This window comes from Homo sapiens, chromosome 8 (assembly GCF_000001405.40).
Source record: "Homo sapiens chromosome 8, GRCh38.p14 Primary Assembly".
In the NCBI taxonomy this organism is placed as follows: domain Eukaryota; kingdom Metazoa; phylum Chordata; class Mammalia; order Primates; family Hominidae; genus Homo; species Homo sapiens.
The window spans coordinates 74,822,732-74,848,137 of NC_000008.11; the positions used below are offsets into that span (position 1 = coordinate 74,822,732).

Below are 25,406 nucleotides of genomic sequence, written 5' to 3' on the forward strand. Positions count from 1 at the left end.
CTAATTTCTCAAAAAGTCCACAGATCTTAGAGCTGGATGGCCTACAGAGAGTTTCTCATCTAACCTCTGATTTAATTCAGGAATCCTTAATATAGCATATTTGAGATTCATTGAAGGTGCCATGAATACTTTCCAAAGTGGTGCAACCCTAGTTGGACAGCTCCACTTGTTAAGATCTGCAGCTGTGAACAACCATGTGAATTTCCTCTAGTTGCTCCAATGTTTCATAATATCCTTGCTCACCTCCTGAGTTTATATATCTGTTTATGCCTTTTCAAGTTTAGTATTAATTCCTTGTTTAAAGCTCTCAATATTTCAGCTATGGCTCTCCTAAAATGATTTCACTTTAGTTAGGAGTTGAATAGTCATCAAAATGTGTCAAAACCTGGACTTTGGTATATATTATTATAAAGTCTGTATCTCATCACTGTAGTTTGAATTTTAGTGACACCTCTGGTACACCTCACTACCCTCTTAAAGAACTTGATGATGTCTGTCTCACCATAGAACGTGAATCTTTTCTCTCCCATTTTTAGGTGCACCAATGAAGAGTTAAACAGTATGCATTTGACCACACATACTACTCGTGATCCAACTGGGAATATATCCTAGGAAACTTGGCTGCCTGTCCAGTGTGCCACATGACCATCATTTCTGATGACTGTAAATTCACATAGTATTTCTTCTGCTGAAACATGTGGGAGACAATCACATTAGCAAGCTGGAAAAAATCAGTGTAAGTTAAGTAAGTTTCTAAACTGAAGAGCGTGTGTTTTCCAGGATTCCTATTGCTACTGACTGTAAGTGGTCCACATTTTGTTAATGAGATCATGACGCATTTTGGGGAGGGTCCTTTCATTATAGAGCACCAATGTTCACATTCTTCTTCTTGCTTTGCCTGACATAGACTTTGCCCCTGTGACATCCTCCTAACAAGGCACTTCTAATTGTTGGCAGCTGCTGCTGCTGTTAAAATTCTTCATGGCCTCTGTGTTATGCCCTCTAATACATTTCCTGAGAGGCTGAGCTATTCTCTGCTTAAAATTTCAACTATATGCTCTAAACCTGAAACAGATGTTATCTTGGCTGCTGTCATTTGCCATGAGCTTCTCTATTCACATTTTATACAAGGCAGGTAAAAAGCAAGTAATTTCTGACCTCACTCTGTAGAGAAAGAAAAAAGGGAGAGAAGGTAAAATAAGAGAGAGAAGAAGAAATATATAAAGCACAGGAATGCAGCCACATGGAAGCAGAGAACACAGCCACTTGAGCATCTATTATCCTAATATCATATGCTATAGTTTGGTTACTACCGATTTGCCTGGCATCCCTCTCGAATCATATTTGTGGCCACCCAGATTAACTATGTTAGCTGATCTCTTGATTTAATATCAGCTTGTTCTTTTTAGCTCCCATGTCATTTACTGTCTTAAAAAAATGTACTGCTTGTTACTCAACTGTCTGTTTTTTCATGAACCCACAGTCTTTTTTTTTTTTGTCTTTGTTTCTTCTTTTTTGTATGGGAACCAGGAACTAGAAAGCATAAAATGAGAGAAATTACTCACAGAAAAGGTGGAAGCCCAGAGAAAAAGGGGTTTGTCTTTTATGGCTTGTACTTTGTAAGCTGTGGGTGTGACTCAATTTCCTCACCACCCACATAAAAAGGTTGCCACCCAATCACTGTTTTTTTCTACCCCAAACCCCTCCCCTTTGATTTTGGCTAAGAGAGACCCTTAGAAAGACTGCCCTTTCTGGACGTTGCAAACTGTGACATATAAAAGCTGTTAGCTGCTCCTCTAGCCAGCAGCATTCAAACCTTGCAGAGCTTTGCTCTCAGAGAGTTTGTAAAAAGACACACTCCTCTTACAAGAGTTCATGCTACCACATAGCAAAGAACCTTAAATTTTTGGAAGAACAATATATTCATTTTGGCATTGTGCAGAGGTAAGCTATTTAGCTCAACAAGTTTATATTGCATGCATTGATTTTAAAGTAGCTCACATTTTTTTAAAGAAATGAGATTGGATTACTATGACTTTTTTGTATGTGTTCTATCACTTGGTGTGTCTATATGTCTGGCAGACATTATCAGCACATTCTCTGTTGTTACCTGTGATTCATTTTTTCTTCACTCTCCAGGTGAATTTCAATTGCTGAAAATTTCCCACTGAAAATATGCAGTAATATATTTTGTGGTTCAGACATTTGGGGCAAATGGTTCACATTCATTTTAGGGTTAGTGGTCATGCTGTTTATTTTTCTCTGCTATACAAAGTTCCTCTTAGGGGTCTGCCTCATGACACTAAAAAATGAATAGAGATTCTACTGTAGGTTATCTCCTAGGCTTGAGTTCAACATTTGTTTGGATTTTTGAAGAAAGTCAAATCAAGCAATGCTCCCAAATGATGTCTTTGTAAATTCATACCCTCTGGCCCTATTTTTTTTCATAGACCCTAACTCTACCTTTCTGCTTTAAAGCAAAGTAAACTCGGTGGCCTCTTCTTCTCCACCCCTCAAAATGATAGCAATCTCTGCCGTCAGCAGTGCACTCCTGTTCTCCCTTCTCTGTGAAGCAAGTACCGTCGTCCTACTCAATTCCACTGACTCATCCCCGCCAACCAATAATTTCACTGATATTGAAGCAGCTCTGAAAGCACAATTAGATTCAGCGGATATCCCCAAAGCCAGGCGGAAGCGCTACATTTCGCAGAATGACATGATCGCCATTCTTGATTATCATAATCAAGTTCGGGGCAAAGTGTTCCCACCGGCAGCAAATATGGAATATATGGTAAGAAGAATTCTTTTTTTTTTTTTTAAGTTCTGAGTGAGAAAGCTTTATATTGTACATCTGCAGAATCTCAAACGACCACGAGTGTTTATATGTCCGGGTATATGGACTTTTTACATATTTTAACCTAAGGTTCTTATGTGCCTAATAATGTTGAGTACTGTTGCATCACAGAATCAGAGAGACAGAGAGGTCCAGAGAGACAGAGACAGACAGATAGAGAGAATCTATGTAGACTTTCTTCTGTGAGTTCCATAGCTACTGGTGAATTGTATCTTATGTAAGAATCATAGATAAAAAGTGGGGTATGTTGACTGATCACATTTGGAAGGTCCACTTTAAAAAAAGTCACATGAACTTTTTCTGTGCTTTATCTCACAGTCATATTTATCAGCTATATCATTTCTTGAAAATACTTCTTAAAATTATAGGTTTCATATGCATGATTTATTCTCTGGGTAGGTGTCTTTTCCCTTTTTTGGACAAAGTTCTTACTGACGCTAACCTATTTGTATTCTAAGAGAACATGCTGACTTTTTTCTCCTTGTGATTTAATGCTTTGCTGTCCAGATAACAGTGAAGCCAGTGCATTTGCACACTGTTCCAACTTGCCGTGAACACATTTTTTGCTCTTTCTTAAAAATAGACAATGTTTAAATCATTTTACTTAGAAAGTAAAAAAAAAAGTTAGTATTGAAAGGAAAAAGTCTTGTTAAAATTTTTATTTGGTTTTGAATTTATGCAAGGTTATGATTTAAAGTCCAGCGTCTTACAAGAGCACAGCTTGGAGCCTGTTTAAGGCAATGAAGACCATCAATATGGTATTTCCAAATTGGGGTGAGGGGAGGGGGTACCACTAACAGTTTTATATGTGCTGAATTAAAATTTGGGATTTTTATCATATTCTAGATTCACTTGTTTTATGTAAATAAGTTATATTAAAAAGTTTGGCTAGTTGCAGATGCCAATGTCACAGGAAAACTAAAGACTTGCTAAATGATGTAACAGAGTCACAGTTCATAGAAGTACAATTTAGACTCTGTGAAAATGCATTTTCCTAGAATTTATAAAGACAGAGAAGATGTAATCAGTCCTGGTGTGTGAGGAGCAGTATAGTCTCATGATTAAGAATATGGGCTATATAATCTAAATGCTTGGGTTTGAATCCTAGTCCTGAAGTATATGCTGAATGAACTCATTACCACACTGTTTCATTTTCATCATCTCTAATATGAAGATAAAGGTGGTATCTGCCACACAGCATTGTTGTGAGAAATGTATGAGTTGACGAGTAATCAGACCAGAGCCTGTTGCTAACTAGATGTTCAACAAACATTAGTTTTGATGGGTTTCTTTGAACTTCTTGTGAAAGGTGCCCAGTGAAAACTCATTCAAGATCTAAAGACAAAAAGTTACCCATACAGAAGAGATGTTTTTAGAAGGTGATGTAAATATGTAAAAATTAGATGAGCAAACACATTTTTAAAATTACTAAAATGATGAAATAAATATGCCTAAGATACCATGCAAGCTCAGAAAGGCATAATATCCCAACTATGAGTTTAGAGAATTTGTAGCAATCACATGACTCTAAAGTGAGAACCAAGACTGCTGAGCCAGCTTTGAAGGTGAGCTCATCTGGGTTCAAATCCTAACTCTGCTGCTTACTTTGTGGCCTTGCACAGGTTATTTAATGTGTCTAAGACCCAATTCATTTATCTGTAAAATGAGAATAACAATACTAACCAATCAAAGAATGCAATTCACTATTTTTATCCTATTGAGGTCAGAGCGTTCACCACGAGGAAAGGCATAGTTAGGTAAACACAGTATAAGTAGGTTGAAAAAAGCCACATTTTTTCTAGCTCTATTTTCCCTTATCAAGAATTAATTCATTCCACATGCATTTATTTAATTGCTTCCGTATGCCAAGGACTTGACTAATTGTTTCCATAGACGATCTCATTTGATAGCTCACATTCTCCGTGTGAGGTTAACATTGTGATCTTCATTTTACAAATGAAATCACTGAGACCCACAGATGTCAACGAGTAGGCCAAAGTGGTAAGGATAATGAATGGCACTGCTGGAATTAGAATTTAGGTCTGTGTAATTTCAAAGCCCATGCTTCTATTGGGGAGCATCTTCTCATTTGCTGCATTGAGGAAATGCCCCATGGCAGGACCCCTGAAGATGTACAGTTATCTTTCTTTCCTTCTTTAAAATGCCAGCTGAAGTCCTATAATATCCATGCTCTATTTATTATTCCATTCTTATTATTTTTTTGAATATCAGAACCACTATATATGATTTATTTTGTAAGAACTAGCTCCAGTGCTGATTACATAGTAGGTGCTTTCTAAATGCTCCTTAATTCAGTAAAAGTAATGAGAACAGTAAGTGCTAGAAAGTAAAATAGGGCTTGTTTCAAAAACTCATGTAAATACTGTGCATACACTTCATTCACACCTGTATTTGCTAATTTAATATTTATTAAATATTTAATATTTGTTAAGCATTGACTATATGTTAGGCTACATAATTGGGGATACATTCATGAATAAAATAGACATCTTTGGCTCCCTGGGTGGGGAATCAGACAATAAGCCAGGTAAATAAATAAGTTACACAGGATGTAAGATGATAAGGTTATGAAGAAAAACAAAGTGGCTTGTGGTAAGGGTTTGATTTTTAACAAGTGTTCAAGGAAGAGTCACTGAAAGAGCCTGGAGGCAGGCAAGGGAGTGAGCCACTCTCAAAGGTGAAGGAAGAGTGAGGAGTCTAGACAAAGGTCTGGAGGTGGGAGAATATCCATCAGTTCAGTTAGAAAAATGTGCTCAATTGAGTGAAATCATAAGTTAGAAGGACTCTTTGAGTAAACTGGTCACTGGGAAGAGTTCATCTAAATCCGTCATGAAGACCCAGAGGGACTTGGAGGGAAGTAAGTATAGTAGGTGGCTTGGAGATTGAAGCAGGGACTATAAGTGACTTGAATTCTCTAGGCTATATGGAAAATGCAGATCTTAGTTTGATACTATTACCTTTAGTTAAACTTGTTCAACATTGATTTGGATTGTGAGCATGTGAAAGATAGTAGAATTCCTAACCTGTTCTATGTACCTCAGAAACTTAGGACACCCCTCACTTGATACCTCACAGATATATGTGCTGTGATCACCAGCTGTGTGTTCAACTTCTCCTCAGTGAGTGATATCACCCAAGGGAACTTAACAGAAGATGGTCTTTGGCTCAGGGCTTCTAATTGCATCAACCTAGTTTGTAATTCCTTTTACCTACAACTCTCTGAGCCTTTTACCACTCCATTTTCCTTCCCTCTAAAGTCTCTTCCTTAGTTTGTTTATAATACTATCCTTCAAGCTTTTGATGCCAGAATGCTTCTAATATCCATGACCACAGATGATTTATCCTAGTTTTGAGCTGTGGTAGCCCTTCTTGTCTACTCTTATCATGTCTTGCTCTCATGAAGTGATTTACAGTTACTTTGTGCATTTCTTGCAAACTTTAATTTTGAGCTTTCTGGGTGCTGTGTCTATTTATTCATTTTTGTATCTCTGTTTTCTTGGGCAATTTCTTGTGTATAGAAAGTGATCAACCATTATTTGTTGAATTTAGATGAAATCCTTGTGAATTGTTATGTGTTTATAATTAGCATTAATTTTGATATTATAAATGTCTTAACAGAGTTTTTGTCATCATTTATAATGATATTTGATTCCACACCTGAATTAAAAAGTTTTTCTTAAATTCTAAAAAAAACCATATAGATAGAACTTAAAATTTGCAAGTAAAACTTTTTTACTCTTGGCTTCTGTTCTACAATTAGTTTATTGACTATTTCCAGAGCTTCTTGCACACCAGCTGTTTTTTATTCTTCCTGAGGGTAGCTTAAACCATGACTCTAAACCACAAACCACACTAGTTTCTTAGAATAAGAATTATCTCCAAAAGAATAAAATTGCAAGACCCACACATAGAGTAAAATTTGTAGGATGTTCTCTGAATTTAAGTCAATTGAATAAATTAATTTGAAAAACTTTGAGGTCCCTCTATGAGAGAAAGAGATCCAAAGAAAACAAACATTTTTGTCTTTAAAGTCTAAACAATGCAGTAAAAACAAAACAAATGGAAAAAAATTCCACTAAGGATATAATTCAGTATAATACACTGCTGTATAAGATTGATGTAATAAAAGAGGTACAGAAAAATACCATGGAGGAGTTGAAGAAGGGAGCGATAATCTCTAGTTGGCAGATCATGAAAGGCTCCTTGGAGGAGGAGCATGTGAAATAGATGCCCAGGAAGGGTCAAGGTTGGCTGTTACAGAAGGCAAAGCAATGCATGAACAAAATCTCCAGCAGAGAAAAACCATGACACTTGAGCTGTATTTTTGAAGAGTTTGAGAAAAGGTTGAGGATTCCTTACTCCAAAGGCAATTAGGAAGACTGTGAAGATTTTAGAGAAGGATTAGGGATGCGTTTTAGAAAGATGATCCTGGCAGTTGATGGAGCTGATATTGGCAGTGAAAGTGACCAGAGAGGTGGTAACTCCCGAGTAAGCAATGCCAATCCTTCAGGCAAAGATAAGGAAGAACCGCACAGCTGCTCCAACATAAAGTGGCAGGCAGGAGAACTCCCTGAAGTGTCATGGGTGAGATGGCAGCCTTCACAGATGGTATGGAGTGGTGGAAAGGCAGATGAGGGACAATGTGAATATAATGAAGGAAATGAACTGATCACCTTAAAACTGAAAAAAAAAAGTGTAATGTAATTTTAAGAAGCCAAAATAACTATATTGATAATACAGTATCTCTTTTATTTGTTTGATACCTGCAAATATTATTTGCAGAGCTACAGATATAAGGTTTCCTATCATTTTTGGAAAAAAGAAAAATACTGGATACCAAATCACAGCAGGTAGTAAAGTTACAGAAAGCATGACTTAAATGAATGAATGGAGAACAGATTAATCCATGCTTGAAAAGAGCCCATGAACTATTTGCCTAGGATGATAATTTATGACTTGGGAATAAACAAAAATGCTGATTTTGTTTGTTTGGGCTTCATGTGGAAGAGAATGTGGAAAAGGTAAACTACTTTTTGTTTTTCTTTCTTCAGTAGTTGATTAAACACTTGTAGTATCTATCTTTATATATACATGTATATATCTTTTTTTTAACAAAGCCATATACCGTCCCACAAGGCGCATTTCCTCTCATTTGGGAAGGATAACTCAATGTTCTTGCTATAAACATGAGAATTTTAATGTGTATAATGTAAACCTCTCCAATGCATGCTTTCGTGACCACTAGAAGGCCTCCTGAGGGCCTCTGCCAGAAGGCAGTGTACTGAGAACAATTGCTGGCAGGAGGCGTTTTCTCCAGCACATTCAGAACTCTACATTCCTGCTCTCCTGGATGTAAAATCTTTTCAATGTCTTGGCTTCAGAAAGAGACTGGGCACATTTTGTAGGAATTTTCTTCCACGGTGCACGTTGCTTATTATCACTTTGATACGCCTGAAGAAGGTAGTAACCTTAAAGGTTCTTGCCTTTTGTTCCGCTCTCCCCACAGGGAGCCAGCCAAAGGTAAGAACATTTTGTTTGTCACCATTTTCAATATAGGTTCTGAAAAATGCAAATGTAAAAGCAGTAACAGGATGTGATTTGAAACCTCAGCATCAGGTGGCAGGCAGAAAAGCTGTGAATCACAGGTAGGCCACATAGGTGGTGACTGTACTTCCGAGTATTGGACACAGTTTTTTTGGTGGAAAATGATATTTGACCAAATGCAACATTGTAGAAAAATAATTTTATTGTGTTTCTGTTGAATATTTATAGAGCCTAGCATCATGTCTGCTCCACAGAGAATATGCAGTGACTACTCAGTAACTATTTGTGGAATAATCAAATGAGGTCCTTTAACTTTTTCTGGTTAGTGTGTGACTGTGGTGCTCTGGGGGGCAAGAGTTGTACAATGTTCAAGCACTTACTCCATAATTTTTACTCGTGTGCCTGGCACTGTGTGCTGAGGGAGTCAGTGGGGAGCAAAGGGACTCTCTTTGGTAGGAAGTACTGTGAACAGACAAGTCAGGTGCAAGGCAGTGTGCTAAATGCTGAACTAGGATAGATACAGGGTTCTTTGGAATCCTGTGGGAAGACCTAGCTCAGATGTGGAGTGGGGGTAAGAAGGTAGGGAAGGCTTCCAGAAGGAATGATTTTAAATAGAAAATATACAAAATAAATAAAGTTATACAGGTGTGAGTTAAGGAAAGAGGGATCTGTAGTGGGTATAGGAGGATGTTCTAAGAGGGTATGTAGTACACTCGAGACATGGATAAAAACTCATTGAGGCTTGGATTAGTGTAGAGAAGAAAGAGTGATGTTTGATGAAGTTGAGGAAGGCACCCAGACATTTGTTCGAATTTCATTTTAAGATCCAGGGTAATCATTGAAGGTTTCAAGCAGGGAAGTTATATAATCAACGAAGTGAAGAAAAGATGCAGTCAAGAGGCTGTTAGGATAGTCTAGGTATCCTCAGCTACGTTTAAGGCAATAAGGATATAAAAAAACCATAAATTAGAACCGTGAAATATGTAAGGTACAAATCCATAGGAGTAAGTGGTTTACATGATGAAGTAGAATAAGGATTTATATGATGAGGCAGCCAAGGAGGATGCCTCCGTTTTTGACAAGGACAATTAAGTTTCTCTGAGTTAGAGAACACAAAATAAAGAGCAGAATTCTGGAAGCCATTAGTGGCTGCAGGTTTATCACCCAGGACACGCACCTCTGGAGGTTGAAAAAAGTAGCTAGTGTGGGGGAAGGAACATTCTTCTACTACAAAGAATTTTGGATGGGTATATCCTTCGGTAGTCAAAATGAACCACTTTGCATCATAGAGGTTGGGTAGTGTAGTGGAGACAGCATAGGTGCATTATTTTATACCTGGGAATCTACTCAACAAATATGCAAGAAAATACCCCCCTCTGTTTTTTTAATGGTGCCATGAATTTAGTATTTATGAAAACCATTTACCATTAAATAGCTGTGAACTTGAGGTATTTGCTTGTCTATAAGAATTTCTGAAGAATAGTATGAAGTGGGCACAGAAGATATAAACTAACAGTTTAAAATGGTCAAGAAAGATGTTTGGCATAAAATGCAACCTAGACTGAGGCTTGGAGGGATAGGATTTGAATTCTTCCAGTCTATGTTATCCATAGTATCTGAAATCAGGTACCAAGCATTTTTCTTAACACAAATATGGAAGAATGCCCAACACGTTGCCCAACAAGACTAAACTTCTCATAAAATCTCTTAAAATTTCACACCACATACTCCAAACTGAAGTAGTCCAAAAGTGTTACTCAAGGACACAATAATGTTTTCTAGTAAAAAGTGCATCAAATTCACTTTTAATAATTTAGTTAAATATGAACATTCTACCAAATCTATCTCTCTGCATTCCAGAGAGATCATGTTTTCAGCAGGCCGTAGGTAGGCGGGAAGGCATTTGAATCCTTCTGACCAAGTGGGCAATGGCAAGATATGAGGTTTGCAGGAGTATCACAGGAGAGTTCAACAATCTAAAAATTAGTTATTAAAATATACCATTGAGTTGGTGAAAACAATTAAACACATGTAGAAATCTCTTCCTGGCTTATAATTTTAATATTAAATGATAGCTGGTGGGTACTATAGTTCCCTGGAAAGTGGGATGATTGTTAGACTCTATCAACAAGTGGTCTTAAAATTTAAAGCTAAAACATGTATTAAAGAGGGATCTACAGAGATGAATTAATATGTTTTAAAACATCTAAAATGTTCTCTAATTTTCAGCTTCTTTTGCCTGTAAGCAAGCTCCTTAGAATCTCCTTATAATTCTGTTTCTGATTATCTAGTTGCTTCAGGGTTTATCCATTTTCACTTTACCTGATTGCCTGGTTAGTTGAGATTAATTCTTGATGTCTCTTAAACTTCCGGCTGCCAGATAATGTGATCAAAAGTGCACCTCACTGCTTTTCATTTTAGGTGACTGATTCTACCACCATTCCCAAATCTCCAACAATAATAATAGCCACCATTAAATACACCTTTGCCCTGCTAGAGCTGTGCTACATACACTTCAGTCACTATCTCATCTAACTCTCTCAAGTTTTGAGAGATGAGATAATTTTCCTCATTTGGAGATAGAGAATCTTAAGTTTGGAGAGCGTAAGTAACTTCCCCAAGGTCATAGAGCAAGTAAATAAAAATGTTAAGAACACAATTCTATCTGACAACAAGCCCATGCTTTAAATCAGGGGTCTCCCCAATTCCCAGGCTGCAGACCAGTGCCCATCTGTGGCCTGTTAGAAACTGGGCTGTGCAGCAGATGAGTGAGCATTGCTGCCTGAGCTCCGCCTCCTGTCAGATCAGTAGCAGGATTAGATTTTCACAGGAGTGTGAACCCTACTGTGAACTGTGCATGAGAAGGATCTAGGTTGTGCACTCCTTAGGAGAATCTAATGCTCTAAAGCCTGATGATCTGAGATGGAACAGTTTCATCTCAAAATCATCCCTTCCCACATTCCTCCCTGGAAGAATTTTCTTCCACAAAACGTTCCTGGTGCCAAAACCACTGGGGAGCACTGCTTTAAATGGCAACGTAAAGTACCTGTTCCTCTTCCTGCGTTCATCTCTCCTGTTTCTGAGCCCTTTGGATAGAGAATTTCCCTACATGGATTTCATCTGAGGATATTGCTGAATGTTAGAAAGAATTTCTTCATGTGGAATCAAATCTTTCTCTTTGTATTATTTATACCCTTGGAAATCATACAGAAAAACTCACAGGCTAGAGCATCCAGTCTCAGAATGTATATTAAGAGGGAAGAAAACCTATATGTCATAGATCCTTGACTCAGTGGATCCAGTCACCAAACTCCTTCTTAGCCTCAAGACCCTTTGTGTTAAACATCTACACACACAATCCTTCCCATCCAGATGATGCCAGCATAAGCTGTCAGGGAAGGCTACACAAATACATTTGATTTCTGAAGATCCTGGAAAAGGTAAGAAGTTTATCATTAAGGAAATGGAAAGTCAAGGCACTCCCACCTGCCTTTTACTCCACATATGCACGCATGAACAGTGACAGTGAGATCATCTTGGGACCTGGAAGCTGTGTGGCCCTGAGCAAGGAATTCCCATCACTGGTTGCACTTTCTGGTTGGGTTACAACATGTGTGTGTTCTTCTGACCATGAGATGCCTAGAATTTATGTGACAAATTACTCTCCAATTGCTCTACTTCTGTGGAGTTAACTTGGCAGAGTCAGTGGGCACATTCTCCTGATGATTCACATTCTCCTGATGATTCACATTCTCATGAACTAAGCTGCTTGTAGGTCACATAAATGTGTGTTGTAAATGCAGACGATGTTGTTATAATGGAAAGGGATTCATTTTTTTCATCTTTGTTTCATTTATATTCACTGCAGTAAACTCATCCAGTCTTATGGATTAAAATACCACTTATATGCTGATGATGTTTCAAATTATATTTATAGGCCTCTCAGTTGAATTTTAGACTAATTTATTCACCTACCTACTTTTCCAAAATTGAGCTCCAGATATTCACAACCTTACCCCCATCCCTTCAAATCTTACTTTAGAATTTTTTTTATCTTTTTAAAAATTTTGGATTTTCAGAAAGTTTCATACAATTCTCACGTGTTACATTGGGTATTTCAACCAATAAAGTCATTTAGAGTTTCCGTGAACATAGAACCACTTTGCAAGTACACATTCAAGGTCTCCAACCTTGAATTTTTGATTTGATAGATTCAGGATTGAGCTAGACATCTGCCTTCTCAAAAGTTCCCTGGGAGATTCTAGAGTTATTTCCCTGGTGAGAACCCTAAAATGTGCTTTAAGATCATGGTTCAGGATTCCAAACCAAGTTGAGAAAAATATTATATGGTTGAAGTATCTACTTATCTGTCTATATACTGAAAGAATTAATAGGTTAAAGCAAAAATTATTCTGGGGATAATTTCCGTATTATCACATAATTTCACTTGACTATTCATTCAGCACCTACTTCTAGAAAACATGTGAGCACTATGGGTGAGCTATAGATATCCACAACAGGGAATGAACCTTACTTGGGAAGTGCTTTATTGACTAAGAAAACTTCAAAAGAAGCAAATTTGTTGTTTTCAAAGCACTTAACCAAAATATGGTTTCACAGTGCACATTTAATGATGCATAGACTTAGAGCACTGGAAATTTTATTCCTTGACTTTTTTAATCAACAAGCTATTTAAATACTCTTTCTCAAAATTCTATTTTTCTTTCATGTATTCCTTCATTAATTTATCTATTAAGGCTGTATTGAGCACACCCTTAGTGTCTCTTTCAATAATCCAGATAACAAATGATGATGGCTTTGACCAAGGTGGTAACTGTGGTGGTGGTGATCAGTGGTTATAGTCTAGAGATACAGTATTTTGAAGGTAAGGTCAATGAGATTTGCTCACTGAGCAGATATAGACTATAAAAAATAGAGTAGATGACTAGATTTTTGGCCTGAGCAATAAAGAACAGCAACCAGTAAACTTTTTCTGTAAAGGGCCTGATAGTAAATATGTTCAGCTTTGCAGGTCTTATGGTTTATGTTGCAACTACTGAACTCTGCCTCTGTAGCAGGAAAACACCATAGACAACATGTCACAGGCAGTGGAGGTGATGTGACCTGTCCACCATAGTTAGCTGATTCCTGGACTAGAGAAACGGCATTGTCATTCACGGATACCAGGAAGACTGAAGGAGTAGTTGATTTGGAGGAATGGGGGTAAGGTTGTGAATATTTGGAGCTCAATTTTGGAAAAGTACGCAGTTGAATAAATTAGTCTGAAATTCAACTGAGGGGTCTAGAAATACAATTTGGAACAATACCATCAGCAAATAATTGGTGCTTTGATCCGTGGGACTGGATGAGTTTACCTGGGCAGTGAATATAAATGAAACAAGGATGGAAAAAAAAAGAGAAGGGACTTGGACTGAGCCCTGGGAACTTTCCGGCACACAGAAGTTGTGGAGATAAGGAGGAATCAGCAAAGGGATAGAGAAGAAGCAGCCAGAGAAAAACAGGCAAGTGTAGGGTCATGAAACCAAGGGATGAAAGTGTGCTCAGAAAGAGTAAGTGGTCAGGCATGCCAAAAGCTGCTGATAGACCAAGGAAGGTGATGACCAGGAGATGACCTTTGATGACCTTGAAGACAGCTGCTTGGGTGGAGTGGGGATGGGGTGGAAAATCTGCCTGGGGTGGGCTCAAGAGAGAATGCGGAAAGCAAAACTGGAAATTCCCAGTGAAGACAACTCTCTCAAGGAATTTTGTTGTAAAAGAAAGGAGAAGAATGGCATAGCAGTTGGAATAGGAAAAGGGTTCAAGAGAGGATTTTTACAAATATCTGTGTGCTTTTAAGATATTTATGTTGCTGGCAATGATTCAGTTCAGAGCCCCTAAAAATAGTACACCTTACACCATCTCTTTATAGATAAATAAATTTACATGAAAGATAATACTCATCTTATTTAAGGAAAGCATTATCTTTCTTCAAACATTACAAAAATCCTTTGGATCTCACCTTTATATTTTTTGATATACATAATATAGTGTCATATTTTGTAGTTATTTTTGAGGTTGAAGGGAATGCTTTTTAAATCAAGTTTCTTTAATCCTCTCCTTCTACTCTTACAGAGAACTATTTTAATATCATCTAATTAATTTAATCACCACTCTCAAATTCTCCTATGAAAGCCCTTTCTCTTCCTCTGCCCCACCCTCCCCTTCCCTGGCCTAACAAGGCTCAGTGCTGCCCTCCTGTCTGGTTTAACACAAGTTCTTGTATATTCAGCTGTCAGTTTCCCTTATTGGCCATTTCACAAGCATTTCTATCTAATAAGGATAAATCCGTTAATTTTAAAACAGAACCACAATCATGCCTATGAAGTGTTTTTAAGCCTTTGACTGCCCTAAAGGAAAATAATTTTGGCATCACTTAATTTTTTAATGGCTTTTTTTTTCACTTCTATAGGTTAGCACTCTTTTCTCAATCTAAGAAAAAGATCAAATAGCCCTAGCTAAATTATTTTAAAAATAAAAACTTGTCTATGTAAGATGCTTTTGCTTTTTATATTATGTATGTGAAATGACACATAAACGTCCAAGAAAAAATAAATGTCCAAAAGGACATGCCACACAGTCTCCAATGCCATTGACATGGCATCTATGAAAATAACTTTATTTCTGTCCCCCAAAATTCAGAGTCTGATATTTTTATTTTTAGCATTTTGTGTATTTGAAAATGGTTTCCATGTGTAGAATAGACTTCTCAAAGTTCACTTTAATTTTCATAATTAATATTCTTTTTTCCTTAAAATTTTAACTTTATGAATTTTTGTTCTTTCCATAAGTATAGCAAGTTTGGACAATCACATTTATTTAATGTTTGTTACCACTTGCAAATTAAATTTCTTAAACTGCATGTATAGGTTTAATAGATTTGATTTTCTTGTTTAGTATTTCAATTGATTTATTGATAATAATACTTTCCATATAGTTAAATAAGTTATATAATTCTAAGAAATGTAGCGATTCATTTCACCTAAATTTTGCAAAACAGCTTGAAAAAAATTAACAGATTTTCTTATCATTGAAAATGATAAGAAATCATAAATTCAAGTATTTATATGCATATATATTTTAAATTGAAAATGTAGGACTAACATGTTACTGTAATAGGGCATTTTTGTAACCATTACATTTATTAGTAATATCAAATAAGATCAGATTCCTTACCCTAAAAGCCCATTCTTTTTAACCTTTTTAAAAAGTAATGTCAACTTTCATATTTTAGGGAGTATATGTGCAGGTTTGTTACCTGGGTATATTTCATGATGCGAGGTTTGGGGTATAATTGATCCCATCACCCAGGTAGTGAGCATAATGCCCAGTAGCTTTTCTACTATTCCCACCTCCCTCCCACCCCTCTCAAGTAGTCCCCAGTGTCTATTTTTTACATCTTTGTGTCTGTGTGTACGCTCAATGTTTAGCTCCCACTTATAAGTGAGAAAGGGCACTATTTGGATTTTTACCTTAAATTTTATCTTTTTAAACATTTCTACATTTAATTTTTATATTTGAAGTTAAAGGATCTTACCCAATTAAAGAGGAAAAAAAGTCAATTCAATCAAGTTTAGGAGTGGAGTCCCAGGTAATTTTGGGGGTTGCCTTCCATTTCTTATGGCGTTTCTTACTAGCCAGAGATAGTGGCTGGGATTTAAGACAACATCTTCAGATGTCAGTGTGCTTTATGGTCCTGGCTGCCACTATGTTGAGGATCCCAAAACTTAGAAAGACAGTTGATAAGACAGCCTCATATCTGGTTTGGATCAGTATCATCAAATTTTTCTGTCTACTTATGGAAGTCCGCAACCTTTGCCCATGCAGCAACATTTTTTACTCAATTTTGTATTCAGCTCAAGTTCTAAACATCTCTGAACTTGATGAGAATCCTACATTCTTTTCATATTCCTTCTATCTTTTGGCATCACTACTCTTTTAGATATTTAAATGACTTCAGTGTGAATTCTGGATATGTGTCATGTCTTAGTTTGGTGGTTTAAACTTCTTGTGCTTCGCAGGCAAGGTACTGTGTCTATCTCAAACTCTCTAATTTTATTTATAAGCACAATAGCTCATGGTGAATATTTTAGTCCAGAGCTAAATCAACCAATTTATGAGCTGACCAACTGAATGGCTCTTAATAAAAAAGAATGGAAGAAAACTGCTTGGAAGCAATAAGGCATCCTACAAGCCTATGCATATTCTGATACCATTATGAACCATTTTTATTTTATGAATTAAACTGTATCTGATTTATCTAATTTAATCATAATGTATAACTTCTAGTGGGTCTTGTAAATATTTGTGCATATTTACGCATAATATTCTTAATTTTTCCTCATTTTTAAGTTGAAATATTTTAAGTGTTTACAAGCAAATTATCTGTGAAAATACCTTACAAGCAAATTATCTGTGAAAATACCTTATCTATTTAGAGGGAGAAGAACTAGGAAGTCAGAATGTTGAATATGGTTTAATAAGAGCTCCGTATATATTAGGTGCTTAGTTTTTCCGAATAGATAACAATTTGTTGCATATTTACTAGGCATTTCACAGAAATAAGTACACACCTGTGCCCTTCTTTCTTCCATTGATACATCTGTAGAGTATATTAAAGTCATTTTAAATAAATGCTACAAACACTCAGAGAAATTTATCAGATAGATTGCCTATTAAGCATCTGGAAATTAATAAATTAAGTCAAATGTTTATACAATTTACATCCTCATTTTCTGAACTTTCGTCAGTTGTTAAATGTTTCCCATAATTACAATGGCAACATTCATTACAACTTAGAGCTTCCCGATAGGAAAGAATTAATCATAAGTACTTACGGATCCCACTTTTTTTGTTGAAAATTTCTATATTTTTTGTTTTTTAATTTTTAAAATTTTTTATTGATACATAATAGAAATATTTTAGGATACATGTGATAATTTAATACATTCATATAATTTGTAAAGATCAAATCAGTGTAATTGGGATAGCTATCACTTTAAATTTGTATCTTTTCTTTATGCTAGAAACATTTGAATAACTCTCTTCCAGTTACTTTGAAATATACACTAGATTATCGTAAACTATAGTCTACTTATCTATCAAGCACTGGGTCTTATTTTTTTCTATCAAACTCTATATTTGTACCCATTAATCAACTTCTCTTCATATAGTTCTGATAGTTATTAAATAAAGTCATCATTGCTTGTCAGTTTCAAACTTAAAAGACCTCATCATAGTAATAAATTGAAATAAGTGGAGACTAAGGGGATAAATCACTTACCCATCTTTCTCTGGGAATTGTAACCAATGGAGAAAGACAGAGAAAGTAAATGTAGGTCTCAGCTTTACCAGAGGATATGATGTAATTCCCAAATTTCACAGCTCACTACTCAAGCCAGACTTTCCCCTTCTTGAGTAGATGCAAGTTCTGCCTGGAGACAGAAAGGCAAGAAAGAGCATGGGGCCCTCTGACTTCCGCTGCAGTGGGCATCAGAGGGTAGGTCAGTCCTGTCTCCATGTGGGAGTCTGACAGTACCTGTCAGACTTTCCAGAACCTTCCTTTAGGTACATGGAGACAGGTAGAAACCCTCCTAGTTTCCTAAAAGCAAACACAGTGAGAGAAAGCAATTATCCCTCCTTCCCTGTAACTACCTTCTCCAATATATAATATTTGTGCATAGAAATACCAAAAAGCATGGACATCGGTGAACACGTTTTCTTCACATCTAAGTTCCTTATAATAGTTAACAAAGGATGGTCTTGTAAGATATTTTTCAGGCATGAGCTTTTTAGTTTATCTTTTTGACATACCCAATATTTAGCTTTTAAATATATGAATGAGTATAAAGGTAGGATTACATATGGTAAATTACTTTTAAAGTTGTTAAATGCCTTAATTTTTATTACTTATTTTTTATTTTATATATTTAACATACACAATGTGATGTTTCGGTATACACACAGAGAGTGAGATAAGGAAAAAGAAATGTCTTGAATATTTTTAATTATTTCAAAAATAATCTAGATTTGCTTTCTCCATGATATGGAAAACGCCAGAACTGAGGAAGTCCCAGGCCAATAGAACACAGGTCTTCCTTGCTCTGATGCTAGGGCTACTCAAGTGTATCTAAATCACAAGAAGTTAAAGATGAAAGGGACCCTGGAGATGCCCTCATTCAATCTCATTTTACAGATGAGTTAACTGGGAGATCACAATTGACATGGCCTCAGTCGCAGATGACCTTAGCAGTGGAATTAGGGTTAGATTAGTCACTGATCCAGGTCAGCGCTATGTGTGCATGTTGTGCTAATATTTTAGCGTAAGATTATAAGAAAGTGTTTTTAGCAGTTACAGATCTGAGTGCACACTCTAGTCCAATATGTACAGAATGCATACATGTACTTTTTCCAAAGTAACTATAATTTGTTAATAACCTTTTAGGGGACATAATTTGTTGAAGCTACTCCATCTGAAATTCCTGTATAAATTAATTGTAATGTTTTGTATTGTGGTGAACTGCAATCAATATTTTATGAATCCATATTCTGTTAATATTTGGTCAGAAGAAAAAATATTTGATAAATCAATTTTCAACCAAAAGAAATGTTTTTTAAAGTTCATTTCATCCCCAGAATACTATGATTTTTATATGACCTCTGTGAGTGAGTTTATTTTGTGCAATCCTAGGTCAATTTATGTAAGATGACTTTGTTTTTCCTAATTTAAAACTATTTCTGAGTAACTAACAAATGTCTTTTGAAAGTAGGCCTCCTGAGGTAAGAGGGTCTCTTGAAGAGTTTATCTTTTTTTTTCTTATTTTATTTTAAAGTCACTAAATTAGTTTCTTTCAATGAAATATGTTGTTACATTAAATAAATCTATGCAATCCATTATCCTTGAGGGAAATGAAGCCTTTTCAGTGATATGGTCAAGCATTCCCATGAGTTTGCTTGAAAGCTTGTAACTTGCCAATGCATAGCTACTAATCCTTACTTAGCTGAACACAATCTGATGGAGGAAAAGTAGGACAAAAAAGATCAATAGGACATTTACATACCTCCTCATATAAGCTCCATGTAAATATAAGTGATCATAAAACTGTTGCTTCCTTCTTCATACAAGGTCTCAATTTCTAAAATATGCTGCTAACCACTCTCTAGTCACAATGTGAACGCTATTTTTCCAGGTAGAATAATATATAAATATTATAAATAGTTTAGGAAATAATGCCATGACATTGAACTATGAAACCAATTTTAAAATAATTATTTTCAACAGGTAAATACTTCACTAAATTATATTACCACTAGGGAAATTTTTTTAAACTTCTTTTTCTATAATGTGTATAAGAATTATAAATATTCTCTATTGTGTATTTTTGTACCTTATGACTTGCTAGAAAATAGATTACCATTTCAGAACTGATTTATTACTGGCAGGTCTGCAAATGCTAGACTTGATTTCCTCTTGCAGCTATGGAAATGAGTATGTCAATCCATATGCTAACTAATATGAATGTATGTTAAATCCACGGCTCATTCAAATTTTGTCCTACGATATTTTTCAATGAAAGAAAATTTACCATCCATCACTAACATCCTTATTAACTTAGCTTCCTCTATAAAGGAAAGCAACAGTTGCTATTTTTCTTAATTCATTTAATTGAACCATGAAGTACTATGTTTTTATAACACTATGTAGCAGTGTTACTTTTATTAGTTTGTTTCTAGTTTATACCAACAAGAATATAAATTATCATCGTATTATTTTTATTACCACCAATGATTCAAATTATATTATATATGTAGACTCTGTGGGTTTTATTACACCATAATAGAGTATGACCTTATACGTTGCAATATAAAATTAGACATTATTAATTTTGGTAAAATCAGTTTGAATAAATTAGATAATCTTTGTTTCTTAAAATATATTAATATCATGGCTTTTGACGGCTGTGAAAATTATCTCTAGGAAAACCAATGGACTTTGTTGGATTCAAATTTCAGTAGTCAGGATGAGCTGTCCCCAAGTTACAACTAGTTATGGTGTTTTGTTTTAACCTTTTCTTTACTAAAACTGATGTATGAATGTTGGATCTAGATGACACTGAAAAGGCAGTAATTTTTTGTAGTATAACCATATTGCATTACAGAACTTTGAATAACAGTGGCCTGAATTTGCTTTCTTTTAGTTATAGCAGTCTCAGGAACCAGAATTAAAAGAATTTTAGGAGGTCTGGAGTGGTGGCTCATGCCTGTAATCCCCACGCTTTGGGAGGCCAAGGCGGGTGGATCACTTGAGGTCAGGAGTTCCAGACCAGCCTGACCAATTTGGTGAAACTCTGTCTCTACTAAAAATCACAAAATTTGGCCGGATGTGGTAGTGCGCACCTGCAATCCTAGCAATTTGGGAGGCGGAGGCGGGTGAATCGCTTGAGGCTCGGAGTTCGTGACCGGCCTGGCCAACATGGTGAAACCCTATCACTACGAAAAATACAAAAATTAGCTGGGCATGGTGATGTGCGCCTGTAATCCTAGCTATTCAGGAGGCTGAGACAGGAGAATTGCTTGACCCCGGGGAGGCAGAGGTTTCAGTGATCCATGATTGCACCATTGCACTCCACTCCAGCCCGGGCAGAAAAAACAAAAACAAAAACAAACAAACAGACAAACAATAACTCTAGGAAATAGTAGCACCATTTATTTTGTCTTACTTTTTGTTTGTTATCAGCAAATTCCGTAACGCTGAAGATTTTTTTCCCCTACAGGTTTGGGATGAAAATCTTGCAAAATCGGCAGAGGCTTGGGCGGCTACTTGCATTTGGGACCATGGACCTTCTTACTTACTGAGATTTTTGGGCCAAAATCTATCTGTACGCACTGGAAGGTAGGAAGTAATTTCACTGATGCAGTTCATCCACATGGCTTTATTAATTATGGACTCTAGGAGGGAATTTCATCAATTTCAAGTAATATCAACAAATTCTTATTGAATGCTCACTATGTGTCAGGTACTAACGCTTGGCCTATGAATATTTTAGATGTCTTCCAGAATTACTTAATTAGGCTAAAGGGCCAGTTCCCCTTTTCACCCTTGGAACACCTTCCCTTAGCCTGGATTTTTCTTTGAGCTCGCAGAATCTTAGAAAGGGTCAAGCCTGTGCTGTATCTTGCCCCCTCCATCTCAGGAAAAAGCCCCATGACTGTGCAGAGGCTGTGTGTGTGTGTGTGTGTGTGTGTGTGTGTGTGTGTGTGTGTATGCATATGAGTGCAACTTTCCCAAAGTTGCATATACCCGCATTTACATAAACATATACAATAAAAATGTAGGCATTTACATATGTTTATACACATACATATACATGCAGGTATATGCAGCTATGGGAAAAGCTATTCCCATTTGCTAGGATAATTTTTCTGCCACTGTGCAAAGTCGTTATCCAACACTCCAAATACCCATCTCCCCCAAATAGGGAAGGAAAATCAACTGTGCTATTATTAAAACTAAGGGAATTCAGACTGAAGTGAAAAAAATGCACTGGGTTCTAATATTGTGACTACTTTTATACATCTAATTCTGGATCATTTATAAAATTCTGATGGAGGAAGTTTTCGACATGGATTAAATAAGACATTGATGATTCCTGAAATTATTTGCATTTTCTTCGTGGAATGACCAGACACATGTTTAGACAAATACAGAATCACTTACTCCAGCCCTGGCCATTTCCATGCTTGGCCCTAGTTGGAGGAATAGAGGACCCGACTAGGTGGTGATGGTGATTGTGAGGGGTGGATGTGCTCTTGGATCATCATGAATAATCTGCAAAAAGAACAATCAATTTACAGTGTAACATGAGTCCCTTATATATTACCACTGCTGCACTCTGATTTCTTTCTTTTCTTTATATGCAGATATCGCTCTATTCTCCAGTTGGTCAAGCCATGGTATGATGAAGTGAAAGATTATGCTTTTCCATATCCCCAGGATTGCAACCCCAGATGTCCTATGAGATGTTTTGGTCCCATGTGCACACATTATACGCAGGTTATTTCAATTACCTTGTTAATTTTTGATTCATACTTTTAAAATATGCTAATACTATTTTGGTGGACATGCATTGTCTTAGCTCTGACTTCTGTAACAGTTTATTGGTTTATTTTCACAGATGGTTTGGGCCACTTCCAATCGGATAGGATGCGCAATTCATACTTGCCAAAACATGAATGTTTGGGGATCTGTGTGGCGACGTGCAGTTTACTTGGTATGCAACTATGCCCCAAAGTAAGTACCAGGTTGGATTCTATTTCCTGGATCCTTTAAAGACGTTAAATATCCCTAGGCTGATAGTTATCTGTGACAGGTAAGTGAGTAAGGCTTAGCTATAATGGCCTCTAATCCTCAAATCCACCATCCTTCCAATATTTCTGAAAAAAGATTAGCTGAAAGGTTACTTCTCACAAAGACAAGGATTCTAGTTCAAAATTGTAGGCAAAACAATCTGAAATGGTAGGGCTCACTAAATTCTCCTTACCATATGTTTTAATTATGGCAATTGTAAAATAAACACTGTACCACACAAGCTTTTAATAGCTATATAAAATAAATCAAGAAAGAATCTTCCATGATATTCTCATCTATCAGTACAAAAATGCTGGCTTACCTTTTTAGCAAAACATTGGAAGTCAATTCCTTCTTCCTTCTCTTATTTTTTAGATTTTAAAAATTCATAATTTCATCCTAGGGCATATATAAAATGGATTATGGAAATTTATCAAACATTATAAATATAGCCATATTTGTGAACATTATTTATGAGGATAAACATTTATCAGCATTTGGTAAAATGCCTCTTGATTACAATAACTCTTTGGATGATAAAATGTTCCAATATTTATATACAATTCTGTTCCCATTTGGAATAAATACCAAAATGTGCAAAGGATTTATGACACTCTTGGTGTCTTCCAAAATAAGTCTCAAACAAAGATTTTCTCCAGCTATTCCAGCATGGGGAGGGAATGAGAAAATGTTTCACAAATAACTGCATTACTCATTTATGTGGTAGTATGCCAGTGGCAGTGCTTTTACAAAGTCAGAAAAATAGTGATTCTCCCTATGTTCCCCTCTTCATAATTATTAGAATGGGAAGATTTGGAAAGTAGACTGTGTCTGCATTATTAAAAAAAGCATTAAAATTTTACATTTATACGAAAATTTTAGTTTTACACATTGCATTTTCCTATGAAGCCTTTACCCTTTCTCCCTGACATAAATAGACCAATTAGTACCCAAATAGTCTAAGAGATTTTTGTTTCATTTATGTAACTATTCATTTTTGGCCCATAGTTATAATTTTCTAATATTATCAGTGAGATATATTATTGCTTTACAGGTCCAAGAGATTAAGATATTACATTAACATGCTACATTTCAGTTGTAATAAAGAACAATTTTTCTGAAAACTAAGTAATGAAGAAGGTTTTAAAATCCTGATTGATAGCTGAATATAATTCTTCCAAACCTAATATGAAATTATGTTAAGTCTAACTGTTATTCAGTGGGAAAAAGAGAGACGGAGAGAGAGAAAGAGAGAGAGGAGGAGGAATGGAAGGAGGGAAAGAGATAAGTGAAAGAGAGAGAGAAAGAGAAATAATTTAGTTAGAATAGCATAAAATAAAAGAATGAATAGTATAAGTGTATAAATTGGCTGATTCACTGTTTTGAATAGAATTATCCTCTATTCAATAAAATCTGAGATTTATGTAAAAGTTTATAATATAAAATATGTAATAATTTTACTTATGATACAATTTTATTTCCAAGTTTTTGTTTCTAAAAATATGTGCTCCAAAAATGTCTGTGAAACAAATCAACAAAAAGATGAAATTAAGATAGCATTAGCTTGGCCCATATGCTTTTATAACTTTGGGTAAATGCATAGATGGAGGGCCAGGTGCGATGGCTCACTCCTGTAATCCCAGCACTTTGGGAGGCTGAGGCGGGTGGATCACCTGAGGTCAGGAGTTCAAGACCAGCCTGACCAACATGGCAAAACCCTGTCTCTACTAAAAATACAAAATTAGCTTGGTGTGGTGGTGCATATCTGTAATCCCAGCTACTCAGGAGGCTGAGGCAAGATAATCGCTTGAGCCTGGGTGGTGGAGGTTGCAGTGAGCTGAGATCACGCCATTGCACTCCAGCCTGGGCAACAAGAGCGAAACTCTGTCTCAAAAAAAAAAAAAAATACATAGAGGGAAATAAGATTATGAATGGTACAGGATTAGGATAAGAGAGCGAGCCACACTCATAAGATAATAGGTCCCCCTTGAACCTTTCTGAGCAAGCCTGTGATGGTATCAAAATTATGCAAGAGGAAGCTTATCCTTATAGTGTAGAATAAATTTAATAAAGGTGGGCAGTCTTAAAATCCCATCTCATTTTGTAATATGAATAAAAGTTTTTCATTTTAAGGATAGATTTTCCTGTATAGCTAGATATTTTGTATTTAAAAGTCTGAATTTTTAACTGAATGGTTGATCAAGATATTTTCATATCTTATACATATACTTTGTGAGTCACTGCTTGGTCTTAGTTGGGTCTTCAGGAAGATGAGGACCACCTGTTTCACATTTTAGCCTCTTACCTATTGTTGTCTTATCTTCAACCCTGACTTTTTACCACCGATAACCAAATTTTCTCCCGACCATTTAACTGTCTTCACATTGCTGTCTATATTGCTATTTCTTAGTATTCTAGTTACTTATCACCACACTACTGAAAACACATTTATTAATTTCTCCTTTATAATTAAAAGAGCAAAATAACAGTATGGCATCATGGCAGTTTTTAACTCTGTTAAGTGGAGATTTTGGTTTATTATTATGATAATGGCCATCAACACAGTGAAGGAAAAATATTGAC

The 25,406-nt window shown here is 36.0% G+C and overlaps 1 protein-coding gene across 2 annotated transcripts in view; it reads left to right on the plus strand.

Annotated features, from left to right (window-relative positions):
- The first annotated feature begins 1,802 nt into the window (after positions 1 to 1,802).
- The window catches only part of PI15 (peptidase inhibitor 15), a 30,496-nt gene continuing 6,892 nt past the window's right edge, over positions 1,803 to 25,406 (plus strand). Inside the window, exons 1-5 of one of the 2 annotated variants that reach the window (NM_001324403.2) lie at positions 1,803 to 1,944; positions 2,451 to 2,791; positions 21,250 to 21,368; positions 22,397 to 22,529; positions 22,651 to 22,766. In NM_001324403.2, the coding sequence (NP_001311332.1) occupies positions 2,519 to 2,791; positions 21,250 to 21,368; positions 22,397 to 22,529; positions 22,651 to 22,766 (641 nt within the window). In that variant the 5' untranslated portion in view covers positions 1,803 to 1,944; positions 2,451 to 2,518. The remainder of the gene's footprint in view (positions 1,945 to 2,450; positions 2,792 to 21,249; positions 21,369 to 22,396; positions 22,530 to 22,650; positions 22,767 to 25,406) is intronic. The other variant, NM_015886.5, reaches the window with a different exon arrangement.